This window comes from Homo sapiens, chromosome 11, assembly GCF_000001405.40.
Source record: "Homo sapiens chromosome 11, GRCh38.p14 Primary Assembly".
NCBI classification, from domain to species: domain Eukaryota; kingdom Metazoa; phylum Chordata; class Mammalia; order Primates; family Hominidae; genus Homo; species Homo sapiens.
This window is the reverse complement of record NC_000011.10, coordinates 29335016-29354055: the sequence shown is the minus strand read 5'-3', so window position 1 is coordinate 29354055 and position 19040 is coordinate 29335016. Positions and strand designations below refer to the sequence as shown.

Here is a 19040-nt window from a genome sequence, read left to right as displayed (position 1 = left end):
GGCATAAACATAATTAGGTGTGCATATGCATCCTCACAGTTTAATGGGCCCTGCATTCCCGGTAATGGGGAGGCTCAGCATGCTGTTGATGTGTCATTTTTCAGGTTAAGATATAGGAAGCTTTCTTGGATTGACTATCCCCAGGAAATTACATGGAAATGCAAGGTATATAGTTATATGAATTCAGAAGTAATGGTATCTTAGGATACATTCACCATCTGCTTTTCATCTTAAAAGACATTGAATGGATTTAGATGGATTTAGCAAATGTGTGTCCTTAAAGTAGCAGTTCCTTTTATTTAAGTTGTAAAGTACTCTGTATTTAGAAATTAACAAATTTATAGTGTTTTAGAACTAGAAGTACATAAAAAAGCATCCATTTAAGATGAGGTTGTTCAGACTCATTGAACCGAAGTGATCTTCCCAAGGTTATGTAGTTTTTGAGAAACCTGCAAATGAGTTGGCGAAAGACGAAAGAAGTAGATTTTTTTTAATTGTTGATGTAGCATCTGCATTTCCCTGGAATCCCAGCTTTAGTGCCAGCAGGACCAGCTACGTAATTTGCAGGGCTTAGTGCAAAATAAAAATTCAGGTTGCTTGACCAAAAATTAAGACTTTAAAGATGATAATCACAGAGCATTAAACCAAGCACAGAGTCTTTCTAAGCCCAGGGCCCTGTTTGACTGCACTGGTTGCACATCTATCACGATGACCCTGAGTACCACAATAGTATTAGATGACACAAATTTGGCCACTAAAAGGTAGTGAGCAGAATGACACCAAGATCAAGGTTGTGGAGAAATAATTGCAAACAACATTTCCATGAGCACTGGTCAGAGAACAAGAAGAAAGGTCAATATCACATCTGAGAAAGTTTATGTAATTGTTTTCAAACAACTGCTTAAATGCTAGAAACAGAGCTTGTCTGATTAATCAATAGACAATGGTATGTGAGTTATGCTTGAAAGACAGCAAAATTTCTGCAACTTTCTATTTATCAACTTCCTTCTTTTGGAAAACAAGCAAGAGGGTAAAATAATGAAGGCATACGGTATCTTTAGAAAGATCCAGTTATAATAAAGACAATATACATATATTGTGGGAATATCTGTCATATTCCAGGCACTATATTAGATGAAGAATGTAGAAAATCATATTCTTTCTCCTGAGGAGCTTTCTGTCCAGCAGAAAAGATAATCTTATAAAGTTACTTTCATGAAAATTAGAAAGTTCTGAGGAGTTTCAGTAGTAATTTCAGAGCTCAGATAAATGAAAACAGACTAAACGAGAGCTAATTTACGACTATTGTTCCCATACCGTATGCCAAACTGTATTAGTGAGTCCTCTCAAAGCAGTCCTGTGATATATGTATTAGTATCCTCAATTGTGAGATGTGTAGTCAGAGACTAAGAGAATTTAAGTTACTCATCCATGACCACAGATATTGTAAAGGAGAGCTTTGGAATGACATTGCAAGTACATCTGATTCTGTAAGCCAGTGATTCTCAAATGTGGTTCTTGGACCAACTGCATCAGCATCAGCTAAGAACTGCAGGAAATGCAAATCCTTGGGTACCACCCCCTATCTACTGAATTTGAATCTCTGGTGGTGGGGGATGGGTGGGCAGCAGTCTGTTTAGCAAGCCCTCCAAAGGATTCTGAAATTCCCTAGAGTTTGAGATCCACTGAATTACCTAATGCTCTTTTTTTCTGCCTTGTGCTGCTTTTTAACACTTACTGAGTGCTTATTATGAGTCCAGCATTCTGCTAGGTGTTTGATGTATTTTAACTATTTAATCTTTGTAATTATCTAGCTAAGGAGGTAGTGTGCTTCATTTTTAGATTAATGAAACTGAGGATTAGAGACACTAAACTGGAATAACTACATGCTTGTTTTTATCTGTCTTACCCACTAGTAAATGAGTTTCTTAAGAGATTTTTTAAAAGCCTGATTCATCTCTGAATACTTTGTACCTGCACAGGGCTCAAAAGGCAGTATGTCCTCAATAAGTGCCTAGTAAGTGAAGAATGGATGAGTGAATGTACCTGTCTAAGGGCAGACACACAGAAAAACAAACACTTTATATCTATTTGGTTTGGAAGCCAATCTCTTCCCATCAGAACGTGAGAAATGCTTTAGGAAAATAGTATTATTTCAGCTCCCTGTTCCCTTTGTCTCATCCATAGATTAATTTTTCCAAAAATTTTGGGAAAATCAGAATCCAAGCCTCATCTGTGCCCATGCTGGCATTCAGATATATCTGGACATGGCTATGGTATTGATGGGTTTGTTTCTTCAAATTTTGTTTGGGGTATTTGTGAACTCCCACACTATGCTACATGAGAGAGATAAATTATTAACAAAACATGAATTGTATGAGTCATTTTTATAGCATGGCAGGGGATTAGGGTTGTAGATATGTGCTATAGAGTTTGAAGGGAAGGAGGGGATGGACAAGATAGCACTGTGTCTAACTTTTAACCTGATTCCTGGATTCATGCATTAGTTCTCAAGAGAGGGATTTTACAAGGAGAAGTTGAAAGAGGGAGTTATTTCCCCGGGGACTCTGAGGGTCTGAATTAAAGTCATGCTTCTTCAATGCCTCTAGTGACTAATTTCAAGATAGGGTATAAGAAGGGGCATTGTTCCTCTCTGGCATGAAATATGAGTTGCCTCCATTTAGTGGTAATTTGATAATTTTATATTTGATAATATAGCTTTGGGTGTACTAGTAATTATCTCTTTGGCATAACCTCTCCCCAGTCTCAACATTATCACTAGCCACAGAAAGGGCCCACGAATCTCCATGTGCCCTCGCTGCTACCACTATTTTGAATGATCTTTGCACAGATAACCACCTGGCTTGCTCCCTCATTTCAAACATGTCTCTGCATAAACAGGTCTTCCATGACTCCCCTGTTTAAAAAGCTTGTCCTCACCTCCATCACTCTGCATTTTCTTACTCTGATGATTTATTTGTCATCACTGCATTTATCACAACCTGGCATATTGTATGTCTATTTGCCTACCTATGTATTCTCTGTCTCCTGCCATGTGAGCCCTAGGATAATAAGAACATTTCTGTTTTATTTACATTCTGTTTTATACAGTCAGTTGAACAGATAATATTATATAGGAGTTGTTTAACAAATATTTTTGGAATAAATTAATGACCCCAGTGCAATGAAGAATAGATACTAGCAGCAGTGCCAGAATCAAGGCGCTATCATCAATTGACTCTAACAAACAGTGTAAAAACATGGCATAAAGGTTAGTGAATCGTAAGTAACTCCTATGGTGGCCTTTAGAAGTGATTGGGGCAGACTTTTAAAAAGATGCTGGAGGTTATCCATTGTGTAGTTAAGGAGTAGTCTTGCAGGATTTCAATTATTACCATTAATGCAACTTCATTTGTATTTATATCTTGGTGAAGCCTGAAGAAACCACAGTGTGATCTTAAGTCCTTTCTATGATTAGTATGCATCAGGAACTAATGGTGTCTCTTGAGTTGGAGTCAATTGATGTATTTTTGGGAACATGCTTGTGCCATGTCACCTAGGGCTCAGTCTGAGTTCTCCAGGTATCATTAACTTTACGAAGACTTTGAATATCCAAATTGCTTTGATTTTAAACTCACCATTTATATTTTAGGTAAATTTAATGCAAATCTTCAGTTCAAGTGCACAGAATTTGTTTAAAAACCCTGAAGATGCTTTCATGATCTACACATCTGTCATTGCTGTTGCTTATCACCGTTCCTGGGAATCTGGCACTTCATCAGCCGTCTTTCTTTCCATGTAATGAACACTGTTCTCCCTGACTCAGGTGACCTTTATAACCCTAATCTTATATTTGTCATAATGCCCCTCACACAGCTAAGGCAAACCATAGTTGAATATCATTACAGGTTTAATAATAACAGAAGGGAAATTCAATAGGGAAAGTTATTTACAATTCCTACAAGATGCGGCTATTCTTAGAAACTATAGACAAAGACTTTCCCGTATCATAAAATTAGCTATCTGTCTGGAATAGCCCTGAAAATACTTAATATTTATATGCAAAGTTACTCTCAATCAATCACTCTTTTATGTCCGGTATTGATACCTCTTCTCAGGATGATTTACAGTGGAAAAGCCAAATTTCTCCCAAATTCTGCCCTTATGATGACCTTGTATAATGGCCACTAATAGTACAATTCATTATACTACTGTAGTCAAAATCAGCATAGTTCTCAAGATACATGGTAATCATTGTTGAATAAGTTATGACAAAGCTGAATTTAGCCATCGCTGGTCCACTTACTTTTTAGAATTTATTCTCCCTCTACACGTGCCCATAGAGATCACTGTATTTTCCTCCAGAGTTTTATCCTGTATGTAGATCCTGAAAAATTAGTTCTCATTGCATTGAATAATATTTTCTCATTTTCTTTGTTTTTTTTATCTTTTATTTTTAACATCTCATTAACAGAAAACTGCAGGAAATTCAGAAGGTACAAATGAACAAGCTAAAACATTTGTATTACTTGGTAATACAAACAGTATTACCAAATAATGACCACTCTCAAAATAACATTTGTTCTTTCTATTTGTATATATTTATAGTCATATTAAAATGGTTTATATTGGAATATCATTTTCCATTTCATAACGTAGCATTACTGAGACAAGTATTACATGTTTATGATTTCATAGGATTCCATGAATAGATATGATATAAATCATTTAATCTGTCAGCAGTAAGATATTTAGATTTATTCTAATCATTCACTATTATTTGAGAGCTGTCATGAACATTCCTGTAGCTATATGCTTAACATAAATTTCTTGGGAATTGCTGGGCTAAATTACATAATTTTTTAAAATTATGATAAATAATATCAAATTGACTTCCATGCCAACTAGGAATCCATGCGAATGACTATTGTCCTATACTTGTACCAACATTTTTATTCCTTCCCCTCTCCTTCTCCTCCTCCCCCTTTTTCTGCAATATTTAGAAATTTGAATAGTTAACCATGGTTTTTTAATTTTTTAGTTTGTATTTCTTTCCTAACAAGGCTTAATATTTTAAAAATATTAGTCTTTTGTACTTTTGTTATTTGTTTGGCTAGATCCTTTATCTTGTTTTTAGTAAAAGTATTTCTCTTTGTTTTCTTTTTCATTATTGAACTCTCCTTTCAGTGATGCCTAAAATGGAAGTTTGTTTCAGTTGTAGAAGATGAAATACTGGATAGTAAAATACTAATTATAAGTAATGAATTTTCTGTCATTTAATAGTCTAAAATGATTTTATGCTGTCATATTTGCTGAAACCCTTTGCCCACCTGGAGGGCTCCCTCCTGATGTTCCAATGACTAGTGGCATCCTAACCCTCTAACACGTAGATCAAGGTATATCAAGGGTGACTAACTCAGTCCTGAAACATCTGCTCTTCGCACTACACGATGAGACTCACAGAGAAGTAGCTCACTGCTTTTCCTTGAGCGGGCCTCATAAAAATTGTTTAGTCTATTTCTCTTTTGATTTTTTTTTTTTTTGGCAACCGCGTTGCAACTCTTCTGAGACTAGGGGCCACATCCTTGTTCTCAAAGTATTTGAGTGCAATATGACCTTCTAGTCCAATAAAAGTGTTGTGTGAGGTGAAATAATGAATAGTTTTTGAGTCTCTTTTCTACAGCACACACTGTCACTTTAAAAAAATTACATAAATTATAAAATATGTTTTATAACTATTTTTCCTCATTTTTCCGAAATGGAAACCATAGTTCAGAGAGATCAAACAACTTGTTCAAGTTACACAGCTAGTCAGTGTAACTTGGATGGGGAGAGGTATCACACCCGTATCGATGTGACTTCAGCACTTTTGTTCTTACGTTACTGTTTTCCCAGCCTTTTTAGCATGGAGCTTCCCTCAACTAGGCAGCGAAGTATACACTTGACAATTTGATTTGTTATTTATCCAGGAAGAGCAAAATCTTGTGAGAACAAGTGTTTTATCCATTTCTGACTCATTTCAATTCCAAGATAATATTCTAGCTTTTATTTCAGTGAATAATGCTGGTAAGTATACACATATCTTCAAAGCTGTAATTTATATCTGCCTAACCTTCTCTTCAGAGGGCACTAAAGATTACTGGTCATGTCAGCTCACTTCTGAGACTAGAAATTATATTACCATTTTCTATAAAAATATTGAAACATGCACAGGCACCACACCAAAAGAGGTTGTCATATCCCATTTTTAAAATTACAGCAAAGAGAGTGAGTTTTCTCCCTTCAGATACTGCATGGTCTATTCTTTTTTTTGTTTGCTTGACTGTGTCTTTTTTTTTTAGTATCATTTCAGCTTAGAGAAACTGGTTATCTTTCAGGATAGATTTTCTCTGCTGCTTGAATGCTCTGCTCACCAGGCATTGATGAGTTGGTTGTTATCATTATTACAGAAATAAAAAAAGGAACAGTGCAATGAAATAACAAACGATAGTCTGAGTGATTTGGAAGCTGAATTTTGGATGCTACATCAACATCAGGGCATGAGTTCTGGGAGGTGTGATAATATTAGTTATTAGCCTGGATCACAGGATTTATCTTGTTTCCTTATAACATTTAAATATTTCACTATACATTCAATATAATACACATACACAGACATAATAGAACTTGGCTGATAGAAAATTAATATTTTATTTGTATATACATATCTGATATAAAAATTATTATGTGCATTTATATTTTCCTTATAGTTAATATTGTTCAATCTCTGTGAGGCATTGGGGAGAGAAAAAAAGTCCTTCTGCACATTCTCTTGTATTCTCAGAATACAAGTAGGGGCTGTGGAGGGTTTTTTTAAAAAAATCTTTTCAGTTTTTGTATTTTAATTTTTGTAGATACATGGTCTCACTATGTTGGCCAGGCTGGTCTCAAACTCCTGGGCTCATGTGATCCTCTGGTCTCAGCCTCTCAAAGTGCTGGGATTACAGGCATGAGCCACTATACCTGGCCTATGGAAGGTTTAATTGATACTTACAGTTACTAGCACTGCAGATATTTGCTGTCTGGATAAATAAATGAATTAATAAACATAAGCATCGTTTGATTCCTTTCTCCACTTCACCTCCTCTGTTAATCAATTGCAGAATTTTGGTCTTTCCTTCTCCTTTTTGAATTGTTTTTCTCTCCACTCACAAGACCATTATGAGAATTAGGCACCACATCTGTCCTAGGGGAGAAGTCCTATCAACTCCAAAGTCGTCTCAATCCATCACCTGGCTTCAGACCCTTGCTCATATCACACTAAATGTTATCTATTTACAAAAGAAAATATTCATCAGATTTCTCCCTTGTAAAATATATTTTAAGTAATTCATTGACAAATAATAATTATGCATATTTATTATGTATAACATATTGATTTGAAATATGTATAAATTGTGGAATGGCTAAATTGAGCTAATTAGCATATGCATTACCTCACATACTTTTTTTTGGCGAGAACAATTAAAATCTCCTCTTTGAGCAATTTTCAGGAATACAATACATTGTTGTTAACTATGGTCACTATGTTGTACAATAGATCTCTTCAACTTATTTCTCCTATCTAACTGAAACTTTGTATACCTCCCTGCCCCCTCCAATTTTTTTGAAGTTTAAAGAAATGTTACTTTATTTTATGTACAAAGTATGGTTTCTTCCATTGGGTAAATGCATTAAATAATCTATTCAAGAAAAATAACTTAATCCAACTTGATGAACTGATGAAACACTGTTTTTTATTCAGTCCCCAAAGCTGAACAAGACACCTACAATACCCCTCCAGCAACTCCAGGCAGCTAAGATCTGCCATGACCTGTTTGTCTCTAACTTACTAATGTCACTACTGGGAACCTCATCTTCCTAGTTCAGAATTTCCCACACTTATATTTCACTAGACCTTTTGCCACAAAATGCCCAATAGTTAAATAAATATGAGAAAGACTGGATTAAATAGGTCTTCATATTGTAGGACTTTTCTGAGCTTTTTACTCTGCAAATTTATACGGTAAATTGGGGGCAGAACATATCATATTTCTCAAACTAGAATGACAATTGAGTACCCTCTCTGTGTTCCTTCTTTCATTTTGAGCAACACCTGTCAAATGCCCTGGAATTCTGGGAGAAACACTACTTTAGTCATTCTTCGGAGTGGTATTCACATCCCTACCTCATTCTTTGCTCTATTACTCTGCCTTGAATAGTGTCTCTGTGTCCTGCCTTTTCTCTCTGCTTGGATGAACTCTATGCTTATTTGAGAAATTTTAAAAGTTTAAGTTTGTGTTTATATTAAGACAGCCAAGCTACATAGGCAGCTAGGACTAGGAAAAGTGGACTCTGGTAATCATGTGAAGATTTTCATGGAGCAATAGGTTCTAGTGATGGAGGAAAATGCTAGTCAGAAACAGGACAAAAACAGGGAAGTACAATGTCATGCAGACTAAAGAATGAAAATGATTTCACTCTCACTGAGTGAAATCCTGTGACAAAGTTTGATGGTGCTAAATTATACACGCAAGCTGATAATTATGAGGATTACCTCATTAGAGTGGAGAAGTTTCAACTGTAATTGCAGGTGTCTTATTCCCTCAGGCTGCTAAAACAAAATATCCTAGATTGAGTGGCATATAAGTAAGAGTAATTAATTTCATACATTTCTGCAGGCTAGGAAGTCCAAGATCAAGGCACCAGCAGTAGCAATTGAAACTGAGAATCTTATACAGGGCTTGCATAAATAAAATAAAACTGATAAAATTTCTCTAAAAATAATTTGGAAGTAGGTATTAACTTAAATGTGGTCAGATTCTTTGATCCAGCAATTCCATTTATAGAAAACTTGTCTACAGAAAAAAGTAGCGATGTGTGTTCAGATTAATAGCCAAGGCTGTGTATTACAACAAATGTTAGAGTAGTAAAAAATTGGGCAATCCAAATTCCCAAGTATATGTATAATTATCGAAAGCTTTATATTCAATATGATTGGAAGTGTATTAGTCTGTTTTCACACTTCTATAACAAACTACCTGAGACTAAATAATTTCTGAAGAAAAGAGGTTTAATCAACTCACACTTCAACAGGCTTAACAGAAAACATGACTGGAGGCCTTAGAAAACTTATAATCGTGGCAGAAGGTGAAGGGGAAGCAAGCACCTTCTTCTCATGGTGGCAGAAGAGAGAGAGAGAGAGAGTGAAGGGAGAAGAGATACACACTTTTAAACCATCAGCTCCCATGAGAACTCACTCACTATCATGAGAACAGCCAGGGGGAAATCCACCCCCATGATCCAGTCACCTCCCACCAGCCCCACCTTCAACATGTGGGGATTACAATTCCACATGAGATTTGGGTTGGGACACAGAGCCAAAACATATCAGGAACAATTATAAACACATGCACATGCACAAAGGCAAAAGTAGAATGGGAAAAAATAATAGTTATTTCTGGATTGTGTCAGTATAGATGATAATTAAAATCTTTTGCTCCGTATCTTACATGTAAAATTTATCCATAAAATATATATATATATATATATTCATTTTACACTCATAAAAATTATTATTAGGAACATTGGCACTAGTTACTAGTCTCACTTTTTATATTTGAAAATACTTAATCTTTCATATAATCAGGGAATGTCATTCCCAGTTGTTTACAGATGCTGTCATACTTCCAGAATTCAGATTTCAGTGTCCTGGCCTAATATTTGTGTGGTTTTGAAGCCACTTACCCTCTTTAAACCTCAGTTTCCTTATCTGTAACAGAGAGATAAAAATAAGAATCACTTTTAGGGATATTAAGGGAGTCAAATGAAGTTAAGAGTACATAGTAGAGTGGTTGGCATAGAGTAAATCAACAAAATCCAATGTTATTGTGAATAACTTTAAAACAGAGACATCTACCCCAATATGTTGTTGTAGGAATTAAATAAACTAATATATTTCAAAATGTCTGTATTAGGACCTGGCATACAGGAGACCTTCAAGAAATATTAGCTCCACTCCTCTTTCTGTCCTGCCCTTTTCTCCTGCCTGTGGAGTGGGTATGCTCCACTCTCCAATGGAGCAGGCAGGAAGCCAGGTGCAGAGTGTGCTGCCACCTAGCGGAGCACTGCGTATGCACAGAGGCAGCCTGGTGGTGTTTGTTTGCTTATTTATGTATGTATTTATTTTTCAGGAAATCATATAAACCCGTTTGTCACACACCTACACAGGATTTCTGCTGCCCTTGCCCTCTGCCAGATTGGCTTGCTTTTTCTTCCTAATGCAATTTTGTAGAAGATTTTCACTTGTGAGGTAGCTGAACTAGAACCAATTACATTCTGTTATAAAGGGCAAGGAATGGAAAGCCACACCAGCATTCCTTCAGCTCGGTCTTTGTAGAGATGCCTGGGTAAGAAATAAATGGGACTCAGACTGTGATGGGGGAATCCAGGGGGTCTCCTCCCGCCGTGTGGTGCGTGTGATTCCAAGGAGCAGAGCTGCTAGTCTCGTGGTTGTTCCTCTTTTATTGGGTTTCCAAAGTGAAAGAGAAGGAAGCTGCAGTGACCTCCCCATCATGGTAGAGGACAGAGAGAAAGATGAGAACAGTGTAGACCACTCTGAAAATGGGGTTCTCCCCTCATCCTTTTTCTGAGAGCTAAGGGCTTGCTCAGAGTGGCTATATATCATGGAGGTCAGTAAACACCTCTCTCATCAAATAAAACCATCTCTCAATATTTCATGGAGGAAAGCTTGAGACAGAGAAAAAGCATGGACCTTAAACCCTGTTTTAGCCACTCTTTAGCAGTGCAATATTGGAAAAGTCACGTCACCTCTCTATGCCTCAGTTTCCCCAATTTTAAATTGAGAATAATAATGATCGCGACTCATTTGTAAGATGACATAAAACAATGGGCATTAAGATATGAGATAACATCCAAACACCATAAAGTTTGACACTTGGGGGAGTAATTTTTAAAAAGCCCCTCCTTTTCGTTGTAGGTTGCATTCATTTTCTATCTAGGCTGCAGCCTGGTGAGGGAATGGTGGTGGGGGCTAGGAACTGCAAAGAGTTGTTTCAGGGCCCTCGGGGTTTACCACTTGACAAATAATAGTTCTGTGATTATCCAGCCTGGCAAAGAGTCCAGGGTCCAGGCTGCAGGTAGGCAAATTAGAAAGCAGCAATCAAGTACTTGGTGTCTACTGTGGGTTATTTCATAGTTAACATGATTGGCTAGGTATCAGTGGATCTGGGCTCCAAGCCCAGTTCTTCCATGATCTTACGGTGTGCCTTTGGGTAAGCATCTATCTTAGACATTTATTTCTATGTCCAAAGAGGTTAAGTGAATTGTTCAATTTTACTCATCTGGTCAGGTCTACATTTCAAACCTTGTCTTTCTGATTGTAAATCCTGGTACACTCCAGTCACAAACATTTTGAAGCCATGTATCCCTTTAAATCATTTTGAAGTTGAGTGCCTGCCTATTCAGTTTACCATCGAACTAACCCTGCCAACACTAATATCCTCCTCACATTGCTCAAATAATGGAGATAGTTTCTAGAGAATGTGTCTGATTTAAATAAGGAGATTCTTATTTAAAAAGTTCAGAAATCACCCCGAATATCTGTTATTTAGTTACTCTATCTTAAGACTTTTTTTAGCCTACAACATGTTTTACAGCCAAACCTGGAAGGAAGGTTCAAGAAAACAATGTGGACGACACAAGGAGGATGAAGAGGCTCTTTGGGGTTTATATGGTTTAGAGATAGACATAAATTTGAATTTATTTTCTCCATTTTCTTGCATCTTCTCATTTCTTCTCCCTGCCCCCCACTCCAGCCTATTAGTCTAGAACTGCTTAAACCGCTGTGTATTCTGTCCCTTTTCTGTGGTCTGGAGTCGTAGGACCAGATTTTAAACCTCAATTCTGCCACTTACTAAATATGTAAGTTAAGGAAAGCCACTATACTTTTTGATCTTCAGTGATTTCATCTACAAAATGAGAATAATGCTAACTACTTCTGAATGCCTCCGTATTAAGTCAAACCTGGAGTTTACATTCCAGTTTCAGAAAAGTCATCTAATTTTCAATTATTCAGTCACTTCCTAGTTCTTAGTGCTTCTAAGCAATATGTAGACATCATTCTCAGTCCTCGTGCTTCTGACCTCTTGGGGAATTGTGAACAATCTTGAATTCAGAGATAATCCATTGTATGTGTTTGAAAGTTAGTAAAACTGAATCTACTGAATTTGCCTGCCTTTTTGTGGCTCACTTGGGACGTAGTATAGTATGCAATATTTTGCTCAGAATGGGAAAAAATAATAGTTATTTCTGGATTGTGTCAGTATAGACGATAATTAAAATCTTTTGCTCAGTATCTTATATGTAAGATTTCTCCATAAATATATATATATATATATATATATATATATATTCATTTTATTGTCTCTTGACGATATATTGTCAAGAGTATATCGTCTCTTGAAGTATATTGTCTCTTGAATGCTGTGATGTGTAATGACACCTCATGGTTGATCTACTGAGTTCATTTAGGCAGAATAAATTAATTAAAGTGAGTTTGGGGTGTGAGAACAGCAAATCCACAGTGAATTGAGATTTTTCTCTTTTAATTCATTGTTGCATCATAGGTCATGAGGATAGAGCCCTCATGTATGGGATTAGTGCTCTAAAAAGACCTCAGAACGTTCCATTTCTCCTTCTGCCATGTGAGCTGATAGCAAGAAGACAGCTGTCTATGAACCAGGAAATGAATCCTCACCAGACAGCAAATCTGCCAGCCTCTTGATCTTGGACCTCCCAGGCTTCAGAAGTTAAAAAAATAAATTTCTCTTGTTTATAAGCCACCTAGCCTATGGTGTTCTTTTATAGCAGCTCAAACTCATTAAAACACTCATTTTAGCTGTTTTGCTTTCAGCATTTGTATAAGTTCGCATAGAGCCCAGTTGGTCTCAGAACAAGGTGAGTATATCAAAGAAAATGGGTATTCAATAGGCTTTATGGTACCTGGGTTGGAGGGGAGGAAAGGATGCTTGATACTATATGGCACCGTGAAGTCAGACCATACTTCCATGTTCATGATGCCCTTATCTTTTGAAGTAGTAGTTCAAAGACGACCCTAGGAAACTGACCAGTCCTGCCACATTCAAGTAGGCTTCCTAGCTATTGCCAGATAAAGGACAGCCTGGGAAACAGGATCTCTTGCATCAAGTCATAGAATTCATTCACAACCTATTTGTTTCCTTTATTTGTTTTATCTTAACTGGTTGAACAATGAGGTTGAGAGATGGATGAAGGGCAAGAACTAGAAAGAGTATACAAATTGCTTTGGTAACTTCCAATCTCCTGAAGTTCAGTAATGGTAAAGAATTGATGTCTTGTTTTCTAATGAGTCATCAGAACAAATTCAGTAAGAGATGGACAAATAGTAGAGGGGTAGAGCAGAGACTGCTTCAATTCAGGACCACCTGGGCACTGGTGTTACTCTGAAAAGTGTGTAGCAGGGGCAGCCTGAAAAATCCTTATAACACATCTCTACATTAAAGCTGGGGTAGTAGCAATGAGGACAGAAACTATTTGGCTTGCTGACTTTTAAGGTATTTTTTTGCCTCTATAAGCTTGTAATCTGAAAGGTTTCCCACCAAGCATAATTTCAAGACAAATATTTATGAGGAATTTTAAACCTCCCCAAAGTCAATAACTTATCATATCTCCTCTCTCAAATTTAAATGCTCTGCAACATACAGAGTGATTACTCATATCTATGGGGTAGGAGAGACAGTCTAGTGTGGCAACCATTTCACTTTGGTAAGGTCTGACTTCTTGTTTTGATTTTCCAAAGATTGGCTGCCATGCTACTTTGCACCCCATGCTAATTCTTAAAAAATGTGAAATTATACATTTTGTTTCAAGGAAACTTATCATCTTATTCTTCCTTTGATATAGATTTATGTGTTACAGGGCTGCTGTCCAGTTTGGTGTTTTTCAGCCACATTCTAAACCATTGGTAGAATAAGGTTAAGTCCCTGCGCATGTGCCTGATCAATAAATCTATCTTCCAGATTTCTGTCAGAGATAGAAAAAGTTAATTTCCAATACTATTTTAATAATTAGACTGCTATGCACTTATTAGTTTTTAACAAATCCAAGGGAAGTATCCAAGGATGGTTCTAAAAAAGTAGTATTGGGCATTAAGTCCAAAGTATAAGATGTAGTAAAGTTAAAGATGAGAAAGTCAGTAACAAGGCCACCACTCAGGGATTGAAAAACAGTGTGAGATAATACTGATATGGTTTGGCTGTGTCCCCACCCAAATCTCATCTTGAATTGTAGTTCCCATAATTCCCAAGTATCATGGGGGTGACCTGGTAGGAGATAATTGAATCATGGGGACAGACTTTTCCTGTGCTGTTCTCATGATAGTGAATAAGTCTCATGAGATCTGATGCTTTTATGAAAGGCAGGTCCCCTGCACATGTCCTCTTTCCCCCCACCATGTAAGAAAGATGTGCCTTTGCCCCTCCTTCACCTTCTGCTATGATTGTGAGACCTCTCCAGCCATGTGGAACTACGAGTCCATTAAACCTCTTTCCTTTATAAATTACCCAGTCTCAGATACATCTTTATTAGCAGCATGAGAACAGACTAACACATATACTATGATTAGAAAGAGTTGAGCAAATCCTAGGATTCAGTCTGAAATGTTGAAGGAATGTTTGTTGGAGTCCTGTCTTGTGGGATTTCACCAAGGGAGGCTTCATGACTATGAAGACCTGGACAAGGATGGAGACAGACATGGACCTCCTCCTTTCCACAAATGTGGAAGAAAGAGTTTTGGAAAGACTCATTGTTCCAAAGCCCAGTTACCAATAGTCTGATCATTACAAAAGTCTCTTCAAGGTCCCTTGTCTTAAAGGCAGCACAGAAGCCTGGATCATAGCTGTCATTCATCTAGAAAAACAGCTTTGGTAGAACTCACATTAGCAGTTCAGGTGCCTCTCATCAGATCAGATTGGCTTCTAGTCATCCCTTGCCTTGTATTCTAGCCCTAGTGACCAGGCTTCTCCCTGGTTTCAGGGAACAACATACCATTTTGTACCTTATGTATGAATTGAGGCCTAATTTTATTTCTTAGTTCCAAACATGTTCTGACAAGGCTGAAGCCTGGTGTTGCCAATTCCATTCCTTTCCAAGGTGAAGATTCTTTGCCTCACTAGCTGATATGTTTTTGATCTGTGTCCTTGCCCAAATCTCATGTTAAATTGTAATCTCTAATGTTGGAGGAGGGGCCTGGTGGGAGGTGATTGGATCATGGAGGTGGATTTCTCAGGAATGGTTTAGCCCCATTCCCTTGGTGCTGTTGTCATGGTAGTGAGTGAGTTCTTGCAAGATCTGGTTGTTTAAAAGTGTGTGGCTCCTCTCCTGTCTCTGTCTTGCTCCTGCTCTGGCCATGTGATGTATTTGCTCCCCCTTCACCTCCCACCATGATTGTAAGTTTCCTGAGGCCTCCTCAGAAGCCAAGCAGATGCCAGCATCATGCTTCCTGCATAGCCTGCAGAACCATTAGCCAACTATACCTCTTTTCATTATATTACAAGTCTCAGGTATTTCTTTATAGCAATGCGAGAATGGACTAATACACTACCACTTCTAACTCAGTTTGGACTCATGATTTGTTCTCAGAAGTCTCTCTGTTGCTTTATAGAATCTTCACCATACTGCCTCTGTGACTCCCCACTGCCATGCTCAATCCACTTGTAGAGAAAGTGTCTTATTTTTCTAGTTCCAGCAATGCCATCCAAAGGTTTTCCTAGGTGGAATCCCTGACAGATAGCTCCCTCTTCCTTTCTCCTTTAGTACTACCTGGGAGGGTGATCATTATTTGCTTTCCTTGGAACACAGAAGTTGGAGGAGAATTCCCAGCGTAATTTGCCTCATACCTTAAGCCCAGATGGCTTTCAGCACTGTTTCAGAAGTAGTCTCTAGAAGCAGAAGTCAAGAAGTACAACATCCTTTGTATTAGCCTGGTTTCTCCAGAGAAATAGAACCAATAGAATGTATATGTATATTCCGTCTCTCTCTTTCTCTCTCTCTCTCTATATATATATACACACATATACATACATATGTATATATATATATACTACATACATATGTGCTTCACACATATATACATAATGTATATGTACATATATATACACATCTGTATCTCATCCAAAACACTTTCACAGAAACACCTAGAATAATGCTTAACCAATATCTGGGTTCTCTGTGGCTCAGTCAAGTTGACACATAAAATTAATTATCACATCCTTCCTCTATTATTCCAGAGGCTGAAAAATACACGGTGCACTGCTGCAGTCACTAAATTCAGGGTCATTAACATGAATATGATTTTCCAGGAAGGAACTTTAAATGCTTAGCCTTGAAGAAGAGGCAGCTTAAAGAGAAGAGGTCTTTCTATCACCCTTTCATGGGTTTTGGTCTGCATTTCCTTTAGCTATATTCCCTGAGCACCCACCTACCTCTCTTATCAGACCCTTTCCTTGCCCATCCCACAGCCTCCACCCTTGCCCTGTCCATGCCTCAGGTTTGCCACAGGGCTGGGTTGCTTCCTTACTCTTTGCTGAAAACAAATTCATAATACATTATAATAGTTACAACAACAGCTGTCTTCTCTTGCATGCTTATTGTATGCAATATTTTACATATATTAGCATGTTAAATCCTCATAACAACCCTGTGAGGAATGATGATGCCTATTTTGCAGATACTGTGAGAGAAAAACAAAAGAATTAATGAACTTGCTCAAGGCCACACAGCCATGAAATGGTAAAACCACAATTCAAACCCACATATGTCTGACGCCAGAGTCTGTGCACAACATAGTTACACACTGTGCTCCCTGCCCCGCAACCTCTCCAAATTATTTCACCAAAGGCTGAGTAGCTGGCTCAAATGGAAAATTTTATCTCTGATTCAGTCTGGTAGCTCAACACAGATCCGAACTCAGTGATCTTTTCCAAGCGTTGGCATAAACAGAAGGATTGAAAATCCTATGTGACTTCTCTGTGAGCAATTAAGGGGCTGCATTCCGTAGCATGCCATTCAGCGTTCACTATTCATCATCACAAACTTTCAGACACACTGAAGGTCACGATTGAAAACAGTTATTTTAAGAGATGGCATTGTTCTCAAAAACCACAGTAGGACCATTGCAAAATGATTTTAACTCAGATCTATATTCAGAGATGAATTCTTCTTTCAGCTCAAATGACGCAGGTTTGTTAGTTGGGGTGTGAGTAGGAGGTGGGGAGATAAAAAAGCAGGGGACAAGTATTCATTCTTATCCATCTCTTGCTCACCTTCTGATAGTTATTTATTTCCCCTGTACTTTTCAAACTCTTTCAAATTCTTTGCCTCAACCTAGCATCTCCATTTCATTTAATTTGTCATAGGAATATTTTTCAATAAGGGGAAATCTTTAAAGAAAATTGAAAAATATAAGACATCTGCATAATAAAATCTTTTGCAAAAGATGCAAGATTTTCTTTAGGTCATGCTTTCCTCTAATTTTTTTCCCTCCAGAATTATTGCAGGGAACGTGCTAAAAGCCTGCCCACCTTTCTCCTAGGATTTTGCTTTACTTTCAAACACTCTCTCTATTGTCACAATGTATTGCCATTGAAGATTTCAAGATTTGAGAAAACAAGGTATGAGAGGGAGAAGCTACAATATATGCAGATGATAGATGAGATAGGGTTGTAGATGGAATGATTGGTCTTAATCCTTTGCTTCTCTGAGGTAATAGTATAGATTAACCCTCTTGCTCTTTCTATGCAGTGCATTTTCCACCTCTTGCCTTTGGGCTTGCCCATGTGACTTGTTTAGCTAGTTGAATTTTAGCAAATATGTCATAAGCATTGTCTTTTTGCACAGGTGTCATCACCATGAGAAGGACATACCACCCCAGAATAAGGAGAGGCAAATGGATTAGACTTGAAATGAACCCAGAGCCTGGATTCAAGCACAGCCAAACCCAGCTTGGATCTCATAATTCCCAGTCCTGTGCAGAAGAACCGTGAGACCTACAATATATTTCCATACCTTCTTTCAAGAAATAAATGCTCAATTTTGTAAGACACTGAGGTTGAAGGTTGTTTGCTACACCACATTTTGGTGAAAATAGTTGACAGTGACACCAACCAAATCAAGAATAATCCCACAACACAGAGCTAGAGTACATGCAACTTCGGCATCTACTAGTATTCACTAAGTGCCAACATTGTGCTGGCATCTTTGCACGTTCTCTCATTTCAATTTTACAACAACAATAAGAGGTAAGCATTATGTAATCAATTTAAGTTTCAAAAAGATTAAATGACTTTATTAAGGCTCCATGGTTAGTAAGTTATAGAGCAAAGCCTGAATCTGAGATTTTTCTATTAGACTTGTTCTGCTTTGGAAAAACATTTTTTTTCTTTTTCAAGTTAGTCCTTTAAAGTTGAATTTGTGCATACTTTAAAAACAGGATAGACAAAAGTAGTAGCCGTACTTTACCATCTACTGCATTTTGGGTTTATATCATATTCAAATATTTCTCTATTTTTTTTTCAGTGCTCATGTTCACTCTTGTCGATAAGGATAGCTGGGATTACTCTGGCCATTTTACAGATTAGGAGACTGGGACTCACGAATATGGTCTTAATCTTCCCCTTACCTTTGTCAAACTTTAGACAGGTTTTTTCCTGACTTTAGGCCCCTGACCTCCTTCTTCTTAGATCATTTGCTTTAAAGAACTTGTGCTTGTGAATAATGTATCTCTCCCCTTTACATGGAAATCTTCTCAGACTCTTTTGCCAGTTTTACAACCCGGTCACCTCTTTCTCAAGGATCTGAGAGCCATTTTTTTTTTCAAATATAATCATCAAAAAAGACAGTGCCTGTATCTGCCAGTCTCTGTGGGAGAGTATGAATCTAACTTCCATAAGCAGCAATGAGCAAAC

General features: G+C 37.4%; 1 long non-coding RNA gene across 2 annotated transcripts in view; it reads left to right on the top strand.

Annotated features, from left to right (window-relative positions):
* The window catches only part of LINC02755 (long intergenic non-protein coding RNA 2755), a 258473-nt gene extending 240295 nt beyond the window's left edge, over positions 1-18178 (top strand). Inside the window, exons 5-6 of one of the 2 annotated variants that reach the window (NR_183753.1) lie at positions 3653-3826; positions 17974-18178. This is a non-coding gene — a long non-coding RNA (long intergenic non-protein coding RNA 2755). The remainder of the gene's footprint in view (positions 1-3652; positions 3827-17973) is intronic. The other variant, NR_183754.1, reaches the window with a different exon arrangement.
* Positions 18179-19040: the final 862 nt, after the last annotated feature.